The sequence below is a fragment of the Homo sapiens genome, chromosome 5 (assembly GCF_000001405.40).
Source record: "Homo sapiens chromosome 5, GRCh38.p14 Primary Assembly".
NCBI classification, from domain to species: Eukaryota; Metazoa; Chordata; class Mammalia; order Primates; family Hominidae; genus Homo; species Homo sapiens.
Genome location: NC_000005.10, coordinates 172,205,949 through 172,227,431, shown reverse-complemented (window position 1 = coordinate 172,227,431; position 21,483 = coordinate 172,205,949). Strand labels below are relative to the sequence as shown.

At 39.7% G+C, this 21,483-nt stretch overlaps 1 protein-coding gene across 4 annotated transcripts in view, besides 2 other annotated features; it reads left to right on the top strand.

Moving 5' to 3' along the window:
* The window catches only part of UBTD2 (ubiquitin domain containing 2), a 74,472-nt gene extending 56,686 nt beyond the window's left edge, over positions 1-17,786 (top strand). For all 4 annotated transcript variants that reach the window (XM_047417875.1, NM_152277.3, XM_047417876.1 and 1 more), the window contains one exon: positions 15,205-17,786. In XM_047417875.1, the coding sequence (XP_047273831.1) occupies positions 15,205-15,602 (398 nt within the window). In that variant the 3' untranslated portion in view covers positions 15,603-17,786. The remainder of the gene's footprint in view (positions 1-15,204) is intronic.
* Positions 2,934-2,983: an enhancer, noted in NCBI's record as "active region_23631". NCBI's record gives its function as "activates an Ori minimal core promoter by ATAC-STARR-seq in GM12878 lymphoblastoid cells {active_cell/tissue: GM12878}" and the evidence as "EXISTENCE:reporter gene assay evidence [ECO:0000049][PMID:35858748]".
* Positions 3,564-3,613: an enhancer, noted in NCBI's record as "active region_23630". NCBI's record gives its function as "activates an Ori minimal core promoter by ATAC-STARR-seq in GM12878 lymphoblastoid cells {active_cell/tissue: GM12878}" and the evidence as "EXISTENCE:reporter gene assay evidence [ECO:0000049][PMID:35858748]".
* Positions 17,787-21,483: the final 3,697 nt, after the last annotated feature.

Genomic DNA, 21,483 nt, shown 5'->3' with positions numbered 1-21,483 from the left:
AGAAATGAAACAGGGCCTTAATGAAGGATCTGATGACTGATTAACCATAAAATAAATGTTATATCATTTTTCTCTCTCTATCCTCAAACAAAAATAGTTCAGGGTTATAAATTGTAAATGTATTCCAGTTTATCTATTCCTCTGCTGTTGTCAACCTTTTCCTTCAATTAGAGCAATAAAGGCCTGCAAACAGCTGAGGTGAGAGGTTGTCCCTGAGTCAGAAGGCTTGTCTCTGAAAAAGACCTCCTTTTTATGCCATTCTGGGTAGTGGAGGTAGAGGAACACAGGGTTTCTACATGGTCCCAGGGAGTATGTTATACCAACTTCTACTTCTGTAAAGCCAGATCAGCTTTACACAGACCACTGTGTTCAGGTGCTTCTAGTCTGCTCCGTTATCCCTTTTAGAGCACTGAAAATTAAAGATCAGTGTCCCCCTTAAAACTGTGGTGCAGTGTTACACAAGCTCTTAATCATGATTTGCCTATCATATGACATCAACAATACGTATACAGGTTAAGCCACTTTTCACTTATGTTTACTAAAAGAGATGATAGACTTAGTTTTTCTGAATGCCACAGTCTTGATGGCTGATTTGGTAGTTTGAGATAGCTAGACCTTCTGCTTCTAAAGCCTGATTGCCAAATATAAACTTGATATATATAATTCCTAGCAAAGTGTTTGCATGAGAGAACCTGTAATTTGTTAGCATCTCTACAATCCTGAAAAACTGCACCTAATATCTGGATGGAAGATAATTTTGATGGCCCTTTGGACATTAGCGTGATTCAGGTTTGTGGAAATCACCATGAAATATGAAGCCATGGACTCAAATTTTATGAAACCTTGATCCTTTGTGACATTGCTGTTGGTGAGTGTTGCCCTGTAAGTCTGATTGTGAGATTTAAAACTTGAGAGAAGACAGCCAACATTATTGTGTGTTTTCTATGGATTTGTTATATGTACTAGGCAATTTTTCACGTGCTTATTATTTAATCTTTACAACAACCTCATAAGGGAGGTACTATAATTCTTGAGGAAACAGACTCACCATATCCAAAATCAGGGTCTAATTCAAATGGGGTATGACTGACTCCAAAGCCATGGTTCCTTCTGTCACATCTCACTGCTTCTCCTGGAGTCTTATGTCCCTCTATCAGGCTTGAGTATACTGCCTGAACGTTCACCCCACTGTTTCATTCCTTTGCATTCATTCTGTCATTTAAGTGTTCTCATTCTTTCTAGCAATTTCCAACTCAAATGTTAAGGCTTTCCTTTGCCATAGCAGGGCATGGTTGTCAAGAAGTAGAAGAGTTCATAATACAAAAATTTGCCAGGGTTGGTGGCAGGCGCCTGTGGTCCCAGCTACTTTGGGAGGCTAAGGCAGGAAAATTGCTTGAGCCCAGGAGGCAGAGGTTGCAGTGAGCTGAGATTGTGCCACTCTCCTCCAGCATGGGCAACAGAGCAAGATTCCATCTCAAAAAAAAAAAAAAAAAAAAAAGAGTTTAAGCCTTCTGACTCAGAAAAGAGAAGTCAGGAGCAAAGACATTTATTCCTACAGGCTTTGGAAGAGGCTCATAGTGCTACAAAAACCTTGGAGTTCTAGAACATTGCCCCTTTCTTTCATTTTGGGAGGATGGTTTTCTGTACCAGATTGCCAATGTGATCTAAATATTAAGTTTGTCAACTTTATTAAGTACACTAAACAGCATGTTTAAAGTGGACAATTTGATCAGCTTTGACATGTATGTAAAACTCCCCACAGTCAAGATAACAAACATTTCCACACCCTTGCCAACACTGATTTTTAACTTTTACAAACCTGTTCATGTAGTGATGCAAGTCTCACGTGGTAAAAATTTTTAACACTGAGCTGCAGTCTTAAGGGAGTGAGAGCACAGAGGGATAAACAGTGAGGCCTTTAAATGCTGAAAAATACATCTTTCTTTCTAACCTGAAAGAGTGCTTGAAAAACAGTATAAAGCATTAGTCCTAATGACATTTAGTAAAGGTATTATTTGTCAGCTAATTTAGTTTTATCGTTCTTATTTTCTAGTGGAATATTTTGAGGCATAATTTAAAATAATCATAGAAGAAAACAGTTGACCAAGGAAAACAGAAACATCTGAGCCAATCATCTAGATAAAAGATAAATAGAAACAACTTCAGAAAATTATGTATGAAATCAGAACAGAAGGTGGAGACTTGGCAGCTTTCTTCCTACCATGAGGAGCTTTCAGGGCTTCCTGGCCTGGGGAAATGATGCCCTGGCACTTATTTAGCCTGGTGGCCATCTGTCTCTGCTAGGACATGAAGCCAACAATAGGTTTGTGAGAAGAAAAAAAAAAAACCTGTCCTTCCACAGAGGATGTTAGGTGAGCAATCTGAGCAATCCTGGCTAGAACTATGTTAAAACTAGTAATTGCTAAATGAACTGCACCCTTGGTGGCCAGTGGGTGGTAATTAAAACGTTTTGTAAAATTTTTTGTAAATTTTGTAAATGTAGCTAAAAGTGATTTTGGAAAAATAGAAAAATCCCTGTATTGTCAACTTTTAGAGTGTTCCTTCCCTTTTGTCTTTAAACATACTGGGTTTCTTTAAGCAAACCTCTCTGTATTAGTCTGTTTTCACACTGCTGTAAAGAACTGCCGGAGACTAGGTAATTTACAAAGAAAAGAGGTTTAATTGACTCACAGTTCCACAGGGCTGAGGGGGCCTTAGGAAACTTACAATCATGATGGGGAAGCAAGGCCCCAAAGGGGAAGCAAGGCCTCCACATGGCAGCAGGAGAGAGAAGAGTGAGGAGCAGAGCGGGAAGAGTCCCTTATAAAACCATCAGATCTTGGCCGGGCACAGTGGCTCATGCCTGTAATCCCAGCACTTTGAGAGGCAGAGACAGGCAGGTCACTTGAAGTCAGGAGTTTGAGACTAGCCTGGCCAACATGGGGAAATCCCATCTCTACTAAAAGTACAAAAATTAGCCAGGCATGGTCGTGCATACCTGTAATCTCAGGAGCCTGAGGCTGAGAATTGCTTGAACGTGGGAGGTGGAGGTTTCAGTGAGCTGAGATTGTGCCACCTCACTCCAGCCTGGGCGACAGGGTGAGATTCTGTCTCAAAAAAAAAAAAAAAAAAAGAAATGAAAAACATCAGATCTCATGAGAACTCATTATTATGAGAAGAGCTTGGGGGAAGCCGCCCCTGTGATCCAGTCACCTCCCACCAGGCCTCTCCCTAGGTACGTGGGGTTTATGGGGATTGCAATTCAAGACGAGATTTGGGTGGGAACAGCCAAACCATATCACCATCTATCTTCTGTTGCCTCATTTTTTTCACACACTCCTCTCAAATACTGTAGATGAGACAGTCTCATACCACTGAAACTTCTCTCAGTCACCACCATTTCCTTTGGACCAACTTGGGCTCATCTTCCATTTCCTTCTTTAAGCTGTCGTAGGCATCATCAGCAAATATGTTGTTGGGCTCCACTGGGCACTGTTGGTTTCTTGCTCCTTGTGATTCATTTCTCAACTTTTTATCCCTTGTATTTGTCCTCTGTCTTTTGTTCTCTTCCAAGTACATTTTCTCCTTCTCATTAACTAATCTGAGAACCAATCCCTGTACCTCCTATACATTATACACTTGGCCACTTACTAGTTCTGTGACCCTGGACAAAAGTTACTTTTTTCTACTTCATTTTTTCCATCTGTAAAATGGGTATAATAGACTTAGCTTATAATGCTTTTGTAAGGATTAAATGTTAATGTATGTAAAGTGCTTAGACAGGGTTAGCAGTGGTAAACACTCCTAAGTGTGCTTTTTTTTTTTTTTTTTTTTTTTTTTTTTTTGACTCCGTCGCCCAGGCTGGAGTGCAGTGGCGTGATCTTGGCTCACTGCAACCTCTGCCTCCCGGGTTCAAGCAATTCTCCTCCATCAGCCTCCTGAGTAGCTGGGATTACAGGAGCGTGCCACCACACCTGGCTAATTTTTGTATTTTTAGTAGAGACAGGATTTCACCATGTTAGGCTGGTCTCGAACTCCTGACCTCGTGATCTGCCCACCTCAGCCTCCCAAAGTGCTGGGATTACAGTCATGAGCCACCATGCCTGGCCAAGTGTTTGCTTTTTTATATTAAATCTTATATGTTGGAAATTATTGCTCTCCAAACTTATTTTACCCTGACTTTTCCCAATCTGCTTTAGTTACTTGTAGATAATTCAGCTGAAGCATCTCATGGAACCTGGAACAATTAAAAGCTAAGCAAAGAATCTTGTAACCCTAAATTATCTATTTTTTTCTGTCATTCTAGTTTCCAGTTACATGATTCTTTCCTTTTGGTTTTCCATCAAATCTAACCCATCATTTGGTTCTGCCAGTTGTCTTTGAATTTCTCAGTTCGATTTTTTTCCATTTCTGTAGTCAGGCAGTCATGATTCCAATCAATCTTTCTTTCTTCAGGTAGATGATAAAACAGTCAGCAGGCTTTGTCTTGTTCACCAGCACAACCTTAGCACCTAGAATATCCAGTAGCATAAAAAAGGCAGTGAATGTTGAACGTTTAATTTACCTGTTTTAGCCACCTCTGGTAATTTCCTGTAGTATTAAGCCTAAACTCCTGAATCTTACTATCAGATTTCACTATTACTGCCTATTTATTAATTTTACATCATTGAATCTGTATTCTACTTCAACAAGATCCCATGGTATTCTCTATTTACCTTGTAATTATTCTTATTTCCGTATCATTTCTATTTCTTGGGATTCCCTTCGTTGCTATTCTGTGTCTTTAAAGTCATGCCCAGAACACACCATTTCTACAGAATTCCTCCATGTTGGCTCTACCAACTCTAGTCACTTTTCTGTTCTGCGATGTCTCAGCACGTGTGTTTGATTTTCATTGTATCCATTTGTACTAAAATCTGTGATGGGTATGCTGTATCTGCTCATGAATATATACTCCTGGAGATCAGGGACAGTCTTGGTTCTCTTATAACCTTCTTTCCTCAGTGCCAGTGACATGCCCTACTCACTTCAAGATGATCAGTAAATGTCTATGCAGTGACTCTAGAATGTAAGAATTGTTTCCTATTGATCCTTGTTAGGTCCTAAAGAGGTTGTGTGGTAGAAACCACTACTATCAGTGCAGCTTTGTCTTTAGTAGAGATTTGGGGCCATTAAATAGTGGAGGATTGGGATTATGTTGTTCAAGAGTCTAGGCCACAAAGGGGCCAGTCTGCTCTGAATAGGTAATTCTGCAGTAATAGTCAGTTATGGACTACAATGTAAAATATTACTTTTATTGATATTTTGTGATCCCAGATATTTAATTCAGGAAGAGCGTAACCCATAAACCTATAGACTTAAAATGAAATCAAATAGTATTTGAGTAAATGATATGGATTTTTCCCTTATTTATTTTAGAGTGGTTTTAAGTTCACAGCAAAATTAAGTGGAGGAAACAGGGATTTCCCATATACCCCCTGCTCCCACACATGCATAGCCTCCCCCAGTATCAACATTCACCATTAGAGTAGTTCATTTGTTAAAAATAAATGAACCTACATTGAAACATCATTATCACTCAGAAGTCCATAGTTCAGGGTTCACTCTTGGTGTTGTACATTCTGTGGGTTTGGACAACTTTATATTGACATGTATCCATCATTAATAGTATCATACAGAGTAGTTTCACTATCCTAAAAAATCCTCTGTGTTCTACCTATTCATCCCTGCCTCCCTCCTAACCCCATGGCAACCATTGACCTTTTTTATTGTCTTCATAGTTTTGCCTTTTCCAAAGTGTGAAATAGTTGGAATCATATTATATATAGCTTTATCACACTATCTTCTTTCAGTTAACTAATATGCATTTAAGTTTTCGCCATGTGTTTTCATGACTTACTGGCTCACTTATTTATTTTATTATTTATTTATAGATAGGGTCTTACTCTGTCACCCAGGCTGGAGTATGGTGGCCCAGACATAGCTCACTGCAGCCTCAAACTGCTGGGCTCAAGCAGTCCTTCCTCAGTCTTCCAAGTAGGTGGGACTACGGGCAGGCACCACCATGCCTGGCTAATTTTTTATTTCTTTGGTAGAGATGGGGCCTTGCTATGTTACCCAGGCTGGTTTTGAACTGTTAGCCTCAAGCCATCCTCCCACCATAGCCTCCCCAAGCACTGGGATTGCAGGCATGAACCACTGTGCCCAGCCTCCTTCTGGGATTTTGATTGGGATTTGCATCAAATCTATAGACTAAGCTGGGAAGAACTGACATCTTGACAATATTAAGTCTTCCTATCCATGAACATGGACTCTTTCTCTATTTAGTAATTATTTTATCAAGGTTTTTTGTTGTTGTTGTTTCATATCTTATACATACTTCGTTAGACTTATACCTATTTTCTTTTTGAGGTGCTAATGTAAATTGTGTTTTAAATTTCATATTCTACTTGCTCATTGCTGATGTATAGGAGAGCAGTTGACTTTTGTATATTAACTTTGTATCTTGCAACCTTGCTATAATTGCTTATTAGGTCTAGTAGCTTTTATGTTGATTCTTCATATTTTTTACATAGACAGTATGTCATCTGCAAACAAAGGCAGTTTTATTTTCTCCTTTCCAATCTGTATACCTTTTCTTATCTTGCCTTGTTTTATTGCATTAGCTAGGACTTCCAGTACAGTGTTTAAAAGTGGTGATGAGAGGGGACATCCTTGTCTTGTTCCCAAATTAGTAGGAAAGCTTTGAGTTTCTCATCATTAAGTATGTCTTAGCTATAAGGTTTTTTTTTGGTTTTTTTGTTTTTTAAAGGAATTTTGCTCTTGTTGCCCAGGCTCACTCCAATCTTGGCTCACCACAACCTCCACCTCCTGGGTTCAAGTGATTCTCCTGCCTCAACTTCCCGAATAGCTGGGATTACAGGCATGTGCCACCACGCTCGGCTAGTTTTGTATTTTTAGTAGAGATGGAGTTTCTCCATGTTGGTCAGTCTGGTCTTGAACTCCCCACCTCAGGGGATCCACCCGTCTCAGCCTCCCAAAGTGCTGGGATTAGAGGCGTGAGCCACCGTGCCCGGCCAGCTATAGCTTTTTTGTAGATATTCTTTATCAAGTTGAGGAAGTTCCCTTCTATTCCTAGTACAGATAATCAGTGTTGGGTTTTGTTATATGCTTTTTCAGCATCTATTGATATGATCATGTGATTTTTCTTCTTTAGCCTATTGATATTATGGATTATATTAATTGATTTTCAAATGTTGAACCAGTCTTGAATACTTGAGACTAAAGCCTACTTGGTCATGGTGTATAATTATTTATACAGTGTTGAATTTGATTCATTAATATTTTGTTGAGGATTTTTCAGTCTATGTTCATGAGAGATACTGGTCTGTAGTTTGCTTGTAATGTTTGGTTTTGGTATTAGGGTAATGTTGGCCTCATAGAATGAGTTAGGAAGTACAGTGGTACCCCCTTATCCATGGGGAGATATGGTCTTGGAATGTTCCAGAACCCCCAGTGGATGCTTGAAACTGTGGATAGTACTGAACCTAAATGCTGTCAATTGGAACACAATTCTTTTCTTGTCTTCCACCCACAAATGTAATGCCTTTTTCAACTGAACTAATCGCTTGTCACGCACTGTGTTTTAACTATTGGGGTTTGAAGTGCCACGGCAAAACTAGCATGAGTTTTTTTTCCTTCTTTACAACTTCACAAATAAATTTGTTCTTATCTTAGATCTTAGCAACAGCAACATACAGATGTTTTTCTTTATTTATTTGAGAACCTCCACATTTTCATTTTTAAAAAGTACTTTATGGCTTCTTTTGGCATATCTAAATTGCCAGCACCACTACTCTTGTGTTTTAGGGCCATTAAAGCACTGCGATAATGCAACTGTTGATCTGATAACCAAGATGGCTACTAAGTGATTAATGGGCAGGTGGTGTATACAGCATGGATACTCCGGACAAAAGGTTGATTCATGTCCCAGGCCAGATGGAGCAGGATGGCAAGAGATTTTATCATGCTACTCAGAAAGTTAAATAATTTAAAACTTGTGAATTGTGTGATTCTGGATTTTTCCATTTAATATTTTTGGACCACAGTTGACCAAGAGAAATTGAAACTGCAGAAAGCAAAACTGTGAGTAAAGGGAGGAATGCTGTATTCTCTTTTCTGTCTAATGAAAAAGATTGCAGAGAATTGTTATAATTTGTTTCTGAAATGTTTGATAGAATTTACCAGTGAATCCATCTGGAATTGGTTCTTTTCTGTTTTGGAAAGTTATTAATTATTGATTCAATTTCTTTAATAGATGTAGGCCTATTCAGATTGTCTGTTTTGTGTGAGTTTTGGCAGATTGTGTCTTTCAAGGAATGGGTCCATTTTATCTAGGTTTATCAAATGTGTAGGCATAGAGTTGTTCATAATATTCTTTTATTATCCTTTCAACATCTGTGGGATCTGTAGTGATGTCTTCTCTTTCATTTCAGTAATTTGTGTCCTCTTTTTTTCTTGGCTAGCCTGGGTAGAGGCTTACCAATTTTATTGACCTTTTGGTCAATAAAACCTTGTAATCAGCTTTTGGTTTTGTTGAATTTTTTTTATTTTTATTTTTTATTTTTTTTTTTATTTTTTTATTTTTTTTTTTTTTGGTGACAGGGTCTGACTCTTTGCCCAGGCTGGAGTGAGATCACAGCTCACTGCAGCCTCAAACTCCCAGGGACAGGCATCCTCCCACCTCAGCCTCCTGGGTAGCTGGGACTACAGGCATGTACCACCACACCCTGCTAATTTTTGCATTTTTTTGTGCAAAAATTTTTTTGTGCATGTTACCCAGGCTGGTCGCAAACTCCTGGACTCAAGCAATCTACCTGCCTTGGCCTTCCAAAGTGCTGGGATTACAGGCATGGGCCACAGTGCCCAGCCTTGTTGATTTTATTTTTTCATTGATTTTTTCCATTTCATTGATTTCTATTTTAATTTTTTTTCTGCCTACTTTGGATTTAAATTGGTTTTCTTTTTTTAGTTTCCCAACGTGGAAGCTTACTGATTGATTTTAGATATTTCTGCTTCTCTAATATGGGCATTATAAATTTCCCAGTGATCACTGCTTTTGCTGCATCCTGACATTATAAGTTGTTTTCCTTTAATTAAAATATATTTTAATTTCTCTTGATTTCTTCTTTGACCCCATGTGTTATTTAGAAATGTATTGTTTAATATCCATGTATTATGGATTTTCCAACTACCTGTCTGATATTCATTTCCAGTTTATTTCCATTATGGTATAAGCAGACATTGTATGATTTCATTTTGTTATGGTGTGTTTTATGTTTCAGAATGTGGTCTCTCTTGGTAAATGTTCCATGTGAACTTGAGAGAAAAATGTGTAGTTTGCTATTGTTGGATGAAGTAGTTTAAACATGTTCATTACATTAAATCGATTGATGGTATTGTTGCATTCAAGTATGTCATTTCTGATTTTCTTCTTGTTAGATCTGTCCATTTCTGATTGAGGGGTGTTGAAGGCTTCAACTATAATAGTGGATTCATCTCTTTCTCCTTGTAGTTCTGTCAGTTCTGCCTCACATACTTTGCTGTGCGGTTAGGTGCATACCCATTAAACATTATTATTTCTTCTTGGTCCAGGCATGGTGGCTCATACCTGTAATCACAGCAAGCGAGGTAGGCGGATCATTTGCCCCCAGGAGTTTGAGACCAGCCTGGACAACATGAACATGGCAAAACCCTGCCTCTACCAAAAAATACAAAAATTACCTGGGCATGGTGGGGTATACCTGTAGTTCCAGCTACTCATGAGACTAAGGCAGGAGGGATAGCCTTGAGCCAAGGAGTTCAAGGCTGCAGTGAGCTGTGATCACACCAGTGTATTATAGTCTAGGTGACAGCAAGACCCTGTCTCTAAAAGTAAATAAGAAAAAAAATTTTTTTAAAGGTTCTTATTTCACCTTTGCTTATTTCTTTCTTTCTTTTTTTTTTTTTTTTTTGAGACAGAGTCTCGCACTTTCGCCCAGGCTGGAGTGCAATGGCGCGATCTCGACTCACTGCAAGCTCCGCCTCCCGGGTTCATGCCATTCTCCTGCCTCAGCCTCCGGAGTAGGTGGGATTATAAGCACCCACCACCATGCCTGGCTAATTTTTTTTTTTTGTATTTTTACTACAGACAGGGTTTCACTGTGTTAGGCAGGCTGATCTTGAACTCCTGACCTCAGGTGATCCACCCACCTTGGCCTCCCAAAGTGCTGGGATTGTAGGCATAAGCCACCACGCCCTGCCTCTCCTTCAGTTTTGAAGGATAATTTCACAGCATACAGAATTATAGGTTGGTGGTTTTTTCTATGCTTTAGATATTTCACTTCACTGTATACTTGCATGGTTTCTGAGAAGTTGGAGTTGGATATGTAATTCTGTCTTTGTTTTGTGTGTGTGTGTGGTTTTTTTAGGCAAGGTCTGTCTCTGTTGCCCAGGCTGGAGTACAGTGACACAATCTCGGCTCACTGCACCCTTGACCTCCCGGGCTCAAGTGATCCCCTCACCTCAGCCTCCTGAGTAGCTGGAAGTACAGGCACACACCACCACACCCAACTAATTTTTGTATTTTTTGTAGAGACAGGGTTTCACTATGTTGCTCAGGGTGATTTTGAACTCCTGAGCTCAGGCTATCTCAAGCTATCTGCCCATCAGAGCCTCCCAAAGTGCTGGATTACAGGCATGAGCCACCGCGCCCAGCCATTTAATTCTTTTCTTTGCTCCTCTGTGGGTAAGCTGTTTTTTCCCCCCTCTGGCTTTTTTTTTTTTTTTTTTTTTTTTTTTTGGGTAGAGATGGGGTTTCCCTATGTTGCCCAAGCTGGCCTCAAACTCATGGGCTCAAGCAGTCCTCCTACCTTGGCCTCGCAAAGTGCTGGAGTTATAGGCATGAATCAGTATGTCTGGCCAGGAGTTTTTTGTTTGTTTTTTTTTTTAATCTTTGATTTCCTGAAGTTTGAAAATGATATGCTTAGATGTGTGTAGTTTTTCTGACATTAACTCTGGAAAATTCTCAGTCATAATTATTTCAAATATTTTTCCTGTTTCTTTCTCTTGTTCTTCTCTGCTGTTCCCATCATGTGTATGTTACACTTTGGTTTGTCCCACAGTTTCTGGATACTCTGTTTTGTGGTGGGGTTTTTTGTTTTTAGATTTCATGGGGTTTTTTGGGCTTTTTTGTTGTAGTTGTTGTTTATTTGTTTTTTGTTTTTTTTGAGACAGTCTCGCTCTTGTTGCCAGGCTGGAGTGCAGTGGCGCAATCTCAGCTCACTGCGACCTCTGCCTCCCAGGTTCAAGCAATTCTCCTGACTCAGCCTCCTGAGTAGCTGGGATTATTACAAGCGCCTGCCACCACGCTCGGCTAATTTTTGTACTTTTAGTAGAGACGGGGTTTCGCCATGTTGGCCAGGCTGGTCTCGAACTCCTGACCTGAGGTGATACCCCCGCCTCAACCTCCCAAGGTTTTTTGGTCTTTTTTGTCTTTGCTTTTCAGTTTTAGAGATTTTTACTGAGATATCATCAAACTCAGATATTCCTTCCTCATTCGTGTTCAGTTACCAGTAAGCCCATCAAAGGCGTTCTTTATTTCTGTTACAGTGGTTTTGTTCTCTAGCATTTCTTTTTGGTTCTTTTTAGAATTTCCATCTCTCTTATTACATTCCCATTTGTTCTTCTTACATGCTGTCTGCTTCATCCATTAGAGCCATTAGCATATTAATCATGTTTTAAATTCCCAGTCTGATCATTCTAACACTTCTGCCGTATCTGAGTCTAGTTTTGTGCTTGCTCTAAAAAACTGTTTTTTTGCCTTTTGGTACATCTTGTAATTTTTTGGGAAAGGTGGACATAATATACAGGAACTGTGTGAAATGGGCCTTCGGTAATATGGAGGTTTTAGTCTTTTTGTGAGCCTCTGCCTCTGGATCATGAACTGGACCAGTGCTTCTCAGTCATAGTCCCTGCCTTAGGTGGGACAAGATGGCTAGAAGGGGCTAGAGCTGGGTATTTCTCTTCTCCCAAATTAGTTAGGCTCTGATAAAACCCCAGCAGGATAGACTCTAGTTAGTTTCTTCTGAGGGCAGAATTCTCTGGCATATTTAAAAATGGTTCCTTTTGCACCCTCCTCCAACCCAGGGAATTATTCTGACTGTCACTACGAGGAAGTTGTAGAGGTCCAGAAGGTAAAACTCAGGAAGGTATCACTCTTCCCAGACACCCTTCACCAAGTCCCCATGGAGCTTTCTCTCTAAGACTTGTCCACACTGAGCCTTTAGCAATTCACTTGGTTACATTTGAGGTTTCCCTACCCTGCACTGGTTCCACAGAGATTTCAGCTCCTGGGTGTCTGCTATGGTAAATGGTGATGCTCTGTATTACCCTGCCTGTCTCTCCTATTTCGGGGGCAGTGGTTTGCCCTGTGACCTTACTTCTCCCACAGATTAAGAATATCTGTTGATTTTTCAGTTTGCTCAGCCTTTTACTTGTTAGGATGGAGTGGTGACTTCTAAGTTTTTTGCATGCCAGACTAGAAACAGAAAGTCTGATTTTTAGTTTAATGTAAAACTAGAGCATATTTACAACTCAGATTATAATTTTGTAGAAAGAAGTGCCGAAAAGAATAAACTAGAAAATTCCATATTAAATAAAAAACAAATTACTGTTTCTAAAAATACTGAAATACGGGAGCTTCTGTAACCATCTAAATAGCTTACTTCCAGCATTATGGATTGAGCACTGGCAGAGCATGAGTAAGAATATACACCATCCAGCTGTAACTCTTCATGGAGTTTTTCTCTCTCACCTTTTAGAGATTTGAAAACTAAACCCTGACTCACTGGGATGAAGGGCAGAAGGGAAAGGGCAGTGTGAAGTTACTGGTATAGGGACTGCTAGTGATCACAACTGTGCTTGAAGTAGATCCATTTCTACAATAGTATTAGTGAATACACAGAGGCTAAACAGAGAAGAGGGAAGATTCACGTGTGTTCTGCTTTCCAACTAAGCTATCACCCCAGCCCATCTTATGTAACTTAGAAGGCAGACCAGATTGGACCTGTGGTGGGTTGATGACCATTCCAGACTCATTTCAGGTGCTTTATATTTTCATCCTATTGACATTAAACACAAATACCGGTTCATTAACTCATTTGTTCATTGATAACCATTTTTCAGTGCTCTGGATTTGGTAGACATTTTGGTTTTTTATCCAAATTTATAATAAGCTGATACCATATTCTAGTTTGGGGAAACGATATGTTACGTATAACCTTAAAACATTCATTAAGTTATGCTTTTGGCCAGGCACGGTGGCTCACGCCTGTGATCCCAACACTTTGGGAGGCCAAGGCGAGCAGATCACCTAGGTCAGGAGTTCAAGAACAGCCTGACCAACATGGAGAAACCCCGTCTCTACTAAAAATACAAAATTAGCTGGACGTGGTGGCGCATGCCTGTAATCCCTGCTACTGGGGAGGCTGAGGCAGGAGAATTACTTGGACCCAGGAGGCGGAGGTTGTGGTGAGCCAAGATTGCGCCATTGCACTCCAGCCTAGGCAACAAGAGTGAAATTCCGTCTCAAAAAAGAAAAAGAAAAAAAAAAGGTATGCTTTCAAGTTCCCCCGAGGAAGTCCTGGTAACTGTAATGTAGTTTACACACCTAGTCTCAGCTACTCAGGAGGTGGAGGCAGGAGGATTGCTTGAGCCCAGGAGTTTTGAGTCCAGCCTGGGCAACATAGCAAGACCTTGTCTCTAAAATTTTGTTTTTGATTTTGAAATTATAATATATGATTTGTAAGGAAGTTAACCATTAATGCATTTTTTTAAAACCTTGAGTGCTTTTTCCCTTCCCTGAGCTAGCTCGTTATGTCATAGCCCTTTTGTTTTTCCTTTTTAATCCATAGCTTATCTGTACTAGATAGATTAATTGGGGTTAAATAAAACACCTCAGTCATTTCTGTGGTAATTTTACTAATGAGACTCATAGATAAGCAATGAATCTGTGGCAGCTGCTAAGGCTGTCATCTCTAATTTGTGATCTCTGGACTAAGGACTTCTTGCCAAGTGCTTCAATTTAGGAAGTCCAGGCACTGGGCTGGGCATGGTGGCTCATGCCTGTAATCTCAGCACTTTGGAAGGCCAAGGCAGGTGGATCATTTGAGGTCACGAGTTTGAGACCAGCCTGGCCAACATGGTGAGACCCTGTCTCTCCCAAAAATACAAAAATCACCCAGGCGTGGTGGTGTGCGCCTGTAATCCCAGCTGCTCAGGAGGCTGAGGCAGGAGAATTGCTTGAACACGGGAAATGGAGGTTGCAGTAAACCGAGATCACATCCCTGCACTCCAGCCTGGGCAACAGAGTGAGACTCTGTCTCAAAAAGAAAGAAAGAAGTCCAGGTACTAAGAAAACTGCTCTAGGGCTGGGCACGGTGGCTCATGCCTGTAATCCTAGCTCTTTGGGAGGCTGAGGTGGGTGGATCACCTGAGGTCAGGAGTTTGAGACCAGCCTGGCCAACATGGTGAAACTCTGTCTATACTAAAAATACAAAAAATTAGCCGGGTATGGTACCAGGCACCTGTAATCCCAACTACTCGGAAGGCTGAGGCAGGAGAATCTCTGGAACCCAGGAGGCAGAGGTTGCAGTGAGCCGAGATGGTGCCGCTGCACTCCAGCCTGGGCAACACAGCGACACTCCATCTCAATAAAAAGAAAAAGAATAAAAGAAAACTGCTCTGGAACACTTGTGGTGAATTGAGCTTAGAAATCAATTTTTTTTAATTTGCTTGCTTGTTTAAGGTAGCGGATTCATTTCTGTAAAAGATATCCTAATGTAATTTAAATGTTCTCTACGTCTTGTGTAAGCATTAATAATATTAGTAGTACATTTGAGTTGTATGCCATTTTAATGAAATTGTGAAAAGGATATGAAATAACTTAGAAGAGCATAAGCGTAAGGACCTAGCATTCTGGTTCATATAAAATTAAATACTCAAATAATTGGGCATGGGATTTGATAATCATTGATGATCAGCTGAGAGTGATGTTTTTTCTCTACAGTGCCATGCTAGCAAGAGAAGCTTAAGCATTTTGTGAGGCATAAACAAAAATGCATTCATTAAGGATTAAGTTCTTATTCATATCTTCTCTTTCTGAAGGTGCACTTACAGAGTGCTACGATGAACTGGGGAACAGATATCAGCTTCCAGTGTATTGCTTGGCACCGCCAATCAACATGATAGAGGAAAAGAGCGACATAGAGACTCTGGATATTCCTGAGCCACCACCCAATTCTGGATATGAATGTCAGCTTCGTTTGCGCCTTTCCACAGGCAAAGACCTCAAGCTTGTGGTTCGCAGCACAGACACAGTATTCCACATGAAGAGACGGTTGCATGCAGCAGAGGGAGTGGAACCAGGTAGTCAGCGGTGGTTTTTTTCTGGCAGACCTCTCACTGACAAAATGAAGTTCGAAGAGCTGAAGATCCCAAAGGACTATGTTGTACAGGTTATAGTGAGCCAACCTGTGCAGAACCCAACACCAGTGGAGAACTGAACTGAGCCCTGTTGGCCAGCTCCCACATCCCTCTGCTCCTTTTTATGGTTCTTGTTGTCATTTCCTACTCTGCGGCGTGAAATCTATTTCACTGCTCTAAATTCCCTATGAATGGATTTAGTTCTGAGGAATTACCAGTGAAAAATTCCATCTGTGATGGAGACCAACAAAAATAATAAAACACAAAGAGCCAGGCTTTGAGACTCATGTAATTACAATTTCTAATTTGAAAGGCAGTTAAGAAATAGATAACCATTTATTTTAGAACACTCAACAACTATGTAATGGCTATATTTCAGTGACTTGGACTGTAAATGAAACATTGCATCCATGAAGGACAGCACCAAGCACCTTTTTGAATACAGAATTTTTTTAGAAAAATATATCAAATTATATAATTTCCAGAAACCATAAATAATGGATATAAAACTTAACCTTTTTGTTTTGTTTTGTTTTGTTTTGTTTTGTTTTGTTTTGTTTTGGTTAATGGAAACTGAAAAGAGCAGTATTTGAGGTTGCTTCTATTCTGGTTTTTTATTCTTAGCTCAATTAATATTTAGCCATAAATGAGTAGAGACTGGCAAATTGTGCTTTAGTGTTGCTTTCCTCATCCCCACATCTTGAGCTCCTTATTTACATTCACACTAAATTTTGGTGCCTTCCAGCACATTAGTGGCAGGCACCCTTCTGGAACACTAGGCAATAATTTCATCAATACAGTCAGGTCTCTTGAGTTTCAACAGATACTCAGTTGAAAAGTCGCTGTCATCTTGCTGCATAAGTATTTTGAAAGGTCTGTATAACGAAGCCATTTTTATATCCAGGCTTAGAAGGTCACTACTATATAGTACCTTCATTGATCTATCTATTCTGCTTGGAACTTTTCATAGCTAAGTATAACCCCCAAATGCATGGTTCCTGGGTCAGGAGACACCAAAATCAATTATAGCTGTTCCCACTCAAGTTAATAAAGTAAATGATTTCCTCCACTTTGCATGGAGGGGTGTAAGGAAAGCCTATTTTATCTGTGCCTGGGAGAACTGTGCCTATTTTCAGTCTTTTAGAGGAAATTTCAACTCAAAATTTTTAAGTGTGAAAGATTTACTGGTGTCACATAAACATTAGCAGTGAGACCAAATAATGAAACATTGCTTTATACCTTAGTGCTTTCCAGTTCACTGTTACCTCTAGTCATGGTAGATGACAATTTTCCTCCCTCATCTTTTGTAGCAAAGAAGCAAATTAAGAGCCTTTTGCAAGTTAGATTAGGGGACTGAAAAATCCAGGGAGATAACCTGATTCTTCTATACTATGACTGGAGTAAAGCTGCCAAGAGTTAGGTTGAATTTGGAGCCTTTTAAAAGTTGGTTCCATAAGTGAGAAGGGGGGCTAACATGTGACCACTGTGCCCCTGAGAATCCATGAGATGGAAAAGTACAGACAAGAAGGCACTTAACGCTGTTCTCAGTTGGAAAATGTCAGCCCTCCACACCTGTTTGGATGTGAAGTGCATTATTAATTTTAATGACAAAATGAAACTGCTAATTAGTTTAAATGTAATGTTTAAATGGTATTGAATTTCCTATTGCCTGATTAAATATATCTGTAATTGTAACATCATGTTTCTGAGAGCTTTAACTACTTCCTTATTTTTATGCAATCATTTTAAAGATTGTGGCTATATCTAATTTAAATTTGCTGATGATTGAATCTAAATTCAAGTGAAGACCACAGCATTAATCCCAAAGGAGATTTTTTTTATGTTTAGAGGTGGAGATATTAGGGTAAATCAGTATATTGCTCCTGTCATCAAAGTTTTTGTTCATTTGTGTGCCACATCGAATAGCAGCACTTCTCAAAGTTTGTCAACTGGAAAAAAGTGTTTAAAACTGTTTTTTTCTTAAGCAGATTTGGTGATGTCATCAATATCTATGATATCGATTGGTAAAAGGTCTTTCTTTGTTGAGGATTTGAGCTCTCTTTTTAAGAGTTTATTTTATTTTAAAGGAACATATGCTTTGAATAACAATTCTCTGGGCATGTTTAACTAACCTAGGTGGGAAAACCATGGTGCTGTTTAATTGTAAATAGATTGATATAAGATTGGACCAGTACTTGATGTGTATAATTTTAGTATGTAGGGTTTATGTGCTTTTTTTAAAAAAAAAAAAAAGGTTCAATTTTTCTCTTTGTCTTTGCCTTTATTATTGGTTTCTAATTGTTTTTACTCTCTATAAGGGTAATTGCCTCATTCTAAGTGAGAATTATGAAGGTTTTCCTCCTTTTTAAAACCTCTGCTCAGTAAATAACAGGTTCATTATCACCAAACTTAGGCTCTGCTATGCCAAGTCATACATGGTAATTTATAAATGTGCTTCATCTTCTGCACTGAAATCTTGGTCTAAAATAGGTTGTTGTGGGTTTTTTTTTTTGTTGTTTGTTTTGTTTTGTTTTGTTTTGAGACGGAGTCTTGCTCTGTCGCCCAGGCTGGAGTGCTGTGGCATGATCTCAGCTCACTGCAAGCTCCACTTCCCGGGTTCACGCCATTCTCCTGCGTGAACTCAGCCTCCCGAGTAGCTGGGACTACAGGCGCCCACCACCACGCCCGGCTAATTTTTTTGTATTTTTAGTAGAGACGGGATTTCACTGTGTTAACCAGGATGGTCTCAATCTCCTGATCTCGTGATCTGTCCGCCTCGGCCTCCCAAAGTGCTGGGATTACAGGCGTGAGCCACCACGCCCGGCTGTGTTTTTGTTTTTCTTTTTGTTTTTTAAGAATCATGCTGGCCAGGTGCCGTGGCTCATGCCTGTAATCCCAGCACTTTGGATGGCCAAGACGGGAGGACTGCTTGGGCTCAGGAGTTCAAGACCCAGCCTGGGCAGCATAGAGGAGACCGCATCTCTACTAAAAATTAAAAAATTGGCCACGCGTGATAGAGCATGCCTGTAGTCCCAGCTACTTGGGAGGCTGAGTTGGGAGGATCACTTGAGCTGGGATGTCAAGGCTGCAATGACCCATGATCATGCTGTTTTATTCCAGCCTGGGTAAATTTCATGTAAAGCAGGTGATACTTCATAACTTTATGAAGTAGGCAATACACACCCATGGTAAAAGAATCCAGATATATCAAAGCAAAAAGAGTCTTTCACTCCTGTCGCTCTTCTGTTTCTCCTCCCCAGAGGCAACAACTTTGACCATTTTCTGTGTATCTTTAAACTTGAGCATGCATCAGAATCACCTGAAAGGTTATTAAAACAGATTGCTTGACCCTTTCCTCAGACGTTCTGAGTCAGTAGATCTGAATGTTGCCCTATAACTTGCATGCTTAAAAGGTCCCGGGTTGTGCTGCTTCTGCTGATCTGGGAGACACACTCAAAAACCACTCTTTTAGTGTATATGGGTATATTCACTCCACCTCATTTTTTTCCATAAATACATATACTATTCTGCACCTTTGATTTTTCTAAAATGGTAAACCTCAGAAATCATTCCGCATACATAGATCTAGATCTGCATCCTTCCTCTTCATAGGTGCAGTGGTACTCCATGGTCTGGGCATACCACAGTTACATCAGTCTCTATTCTGGTCGGCTTTGCTGTTCCTAGTTTTTTGCTACTGTGAACCATGCTGCAATGAGTTTCCTTTTATATAGGTAAGATCTTTGTATACATAGATGGAGGAATTGCATTCTATAGATTTATGTGACATGTCTTCCAAAGCGATTTTACCAATTAATCCTTATACTACAGCAATATGACTGCTTTAATTTTCCTACACCCTGACCGCCTTTCTGATCTTTGACAATCTGATAAGTAAAAACTTTGACCTGTGGTTTTGCTTTGTATTTTCCTTATGAGCAAAGTTTAACATTTTACTATATTTTAAGGCCATTTTTTTTTTCTGTGAATGTTCTATTTGCCCATATTCCTATCGCATGTTGGTCTTTACTGTCAAGACTTGTGAGTACCTGTCCTTTATTGAGGAAATTGGTTCTTTTCTATCATGTGTTGTCATTTCTTTTGTTTGGGTGGAATTTACCATGTGCAGATTTTAAGTTTTTCCTGGTCAGATCTGTCAGTCTCTTATTTTACAGTTTCTGAGTTTTTTTCTTAACCTCAAACGATCTTCCCCAATTTGAGGTTATAAAAATGTTTCCCCAATCCGAGGTTACAAAAATGTTTCTTGTGTGTTTCCTTTTTGGTTTCATTGTTATATGAAATTTATTTTGGTGAAAGAAGTAGGGTAGCAATCCACATTTATTTTTCCAAATAGCTACCCCACTTTTCCTGATAATACTTACTGAATAACTTTTATCTATCTTTTCCCCATTGATGTGAAAAAATCCTTATTTTATGACAAGTTTTTAAGACACTATAGTTTTTTAATGGTCTTTTCTTATCAGTTGGACAAATTAGCAGATATACATTATGTCTACCTCCAACTCTCAAATACTGTAATTTAGTATTTTCACTTATGGAGAGGAAAGAATGAAGCTGATAACCTCCCTTGCTATAGCCAATCTTCTGTGATGTCTGTTTGGGTTTCTTGTGGCTCCTCTGATGCTCCACGTTCTGTAGGCTGCTAAGGTGGATAACTGTCCCACTCAGCAGATGTCAGCACAGTTCATTTGGCTCTTTCTAATCATTGTCTTTGGTATGAGGCTTAAGATGATAAGACATGAACTCTAAGAACTGGTGGAAGATGTTGAGTTGGTGCAAAGGGGATTGCAGTTTTGCCATTGCGTTTAATGCTTTTAATGCCAGTGGCAAAAACAGTTCCCTTTGCACCAACCTAATAAATGATCTCACTTGATTTATAGTTAGCTTCCTCCAAATGTCTTCCCTCTTTGTAGCGGATATAGATTATGGAGGAACCAGTCTGGGCCTGGGCTGAAACTGTAGCTGGGTCAGCCCTCCCTCCCATCAGGCCTGCATTCCCCTACCTCTGCAGGTGCTGCTCTCTTCCCAGGGCACAGGCCACCTGAACACACTTGGTTGACCAAAACATTTTAATGCAACTATGACTTAGTAATAATACAGAGGGTTGGTACCATCCAAAAACATACCTAAATGTACATTGTCTAATAAACTCTACCCTTAAAAGCACAATCTGATGGGTGAATTCACTGTGGAAATAGTGAAACTTAAGTTGAAGCATCTCCACACATACCTACAAACACATTTAAAATTTGTTGTCATAGAATGTAATTGTGAAAAAGTCCTAAAGTGTACATTAGTAGATTGTTTTATAAATTGTACTACTAAGTCCCAAAAGAATGTCACTGAAGTGGTGCGTTTAAATTTCCTTTTTGACACTAAGTTTCAGTGTGAGATATTCAGAGAGATGCTCAGTTTCCCGATACCACTCTAGAAGCATCCAGTTTAGGAAAATGCTCTTAAAAGGAAGAACATTTTAAAAATCTGATAGTTGGGCCGAGCACGGTGTCTCACGCCTGTAATCCCAGCACTTTGGGAGGCTAAGGTGGGCAGATCACCTTAGGTCAGGAGTTCAAGACTAGCCTGGCCAACGTGGCGAAACCCCATCTCTACTAAAAATACAAACATTAGCCGGGCGTGGTGGCGGGTGTATGTAATCCCAGCTACTCAGGAGGCTGAGGCAGGAGAATCGCTTGAACTGGGAAGTGAAGGTTGCAGTGAGCCGGGATTGCGTCATTGCGCTCCAGCAAGAGCGAAACTCCATCTCAAAAAAAAAAAAAAAAAAAAAAATCTGATAGTTGGTTAATTATACCTTTTATAGCCACCCTAATGGTTTCCAGAGTGGAGGGGAAAACTTTTATAAAATTGCTCATTCCTGAAACTTCAGTCATTTGATGTGGTTTTAAATTAGCCTAAATCAGTACCTATATGTACGTATTATCT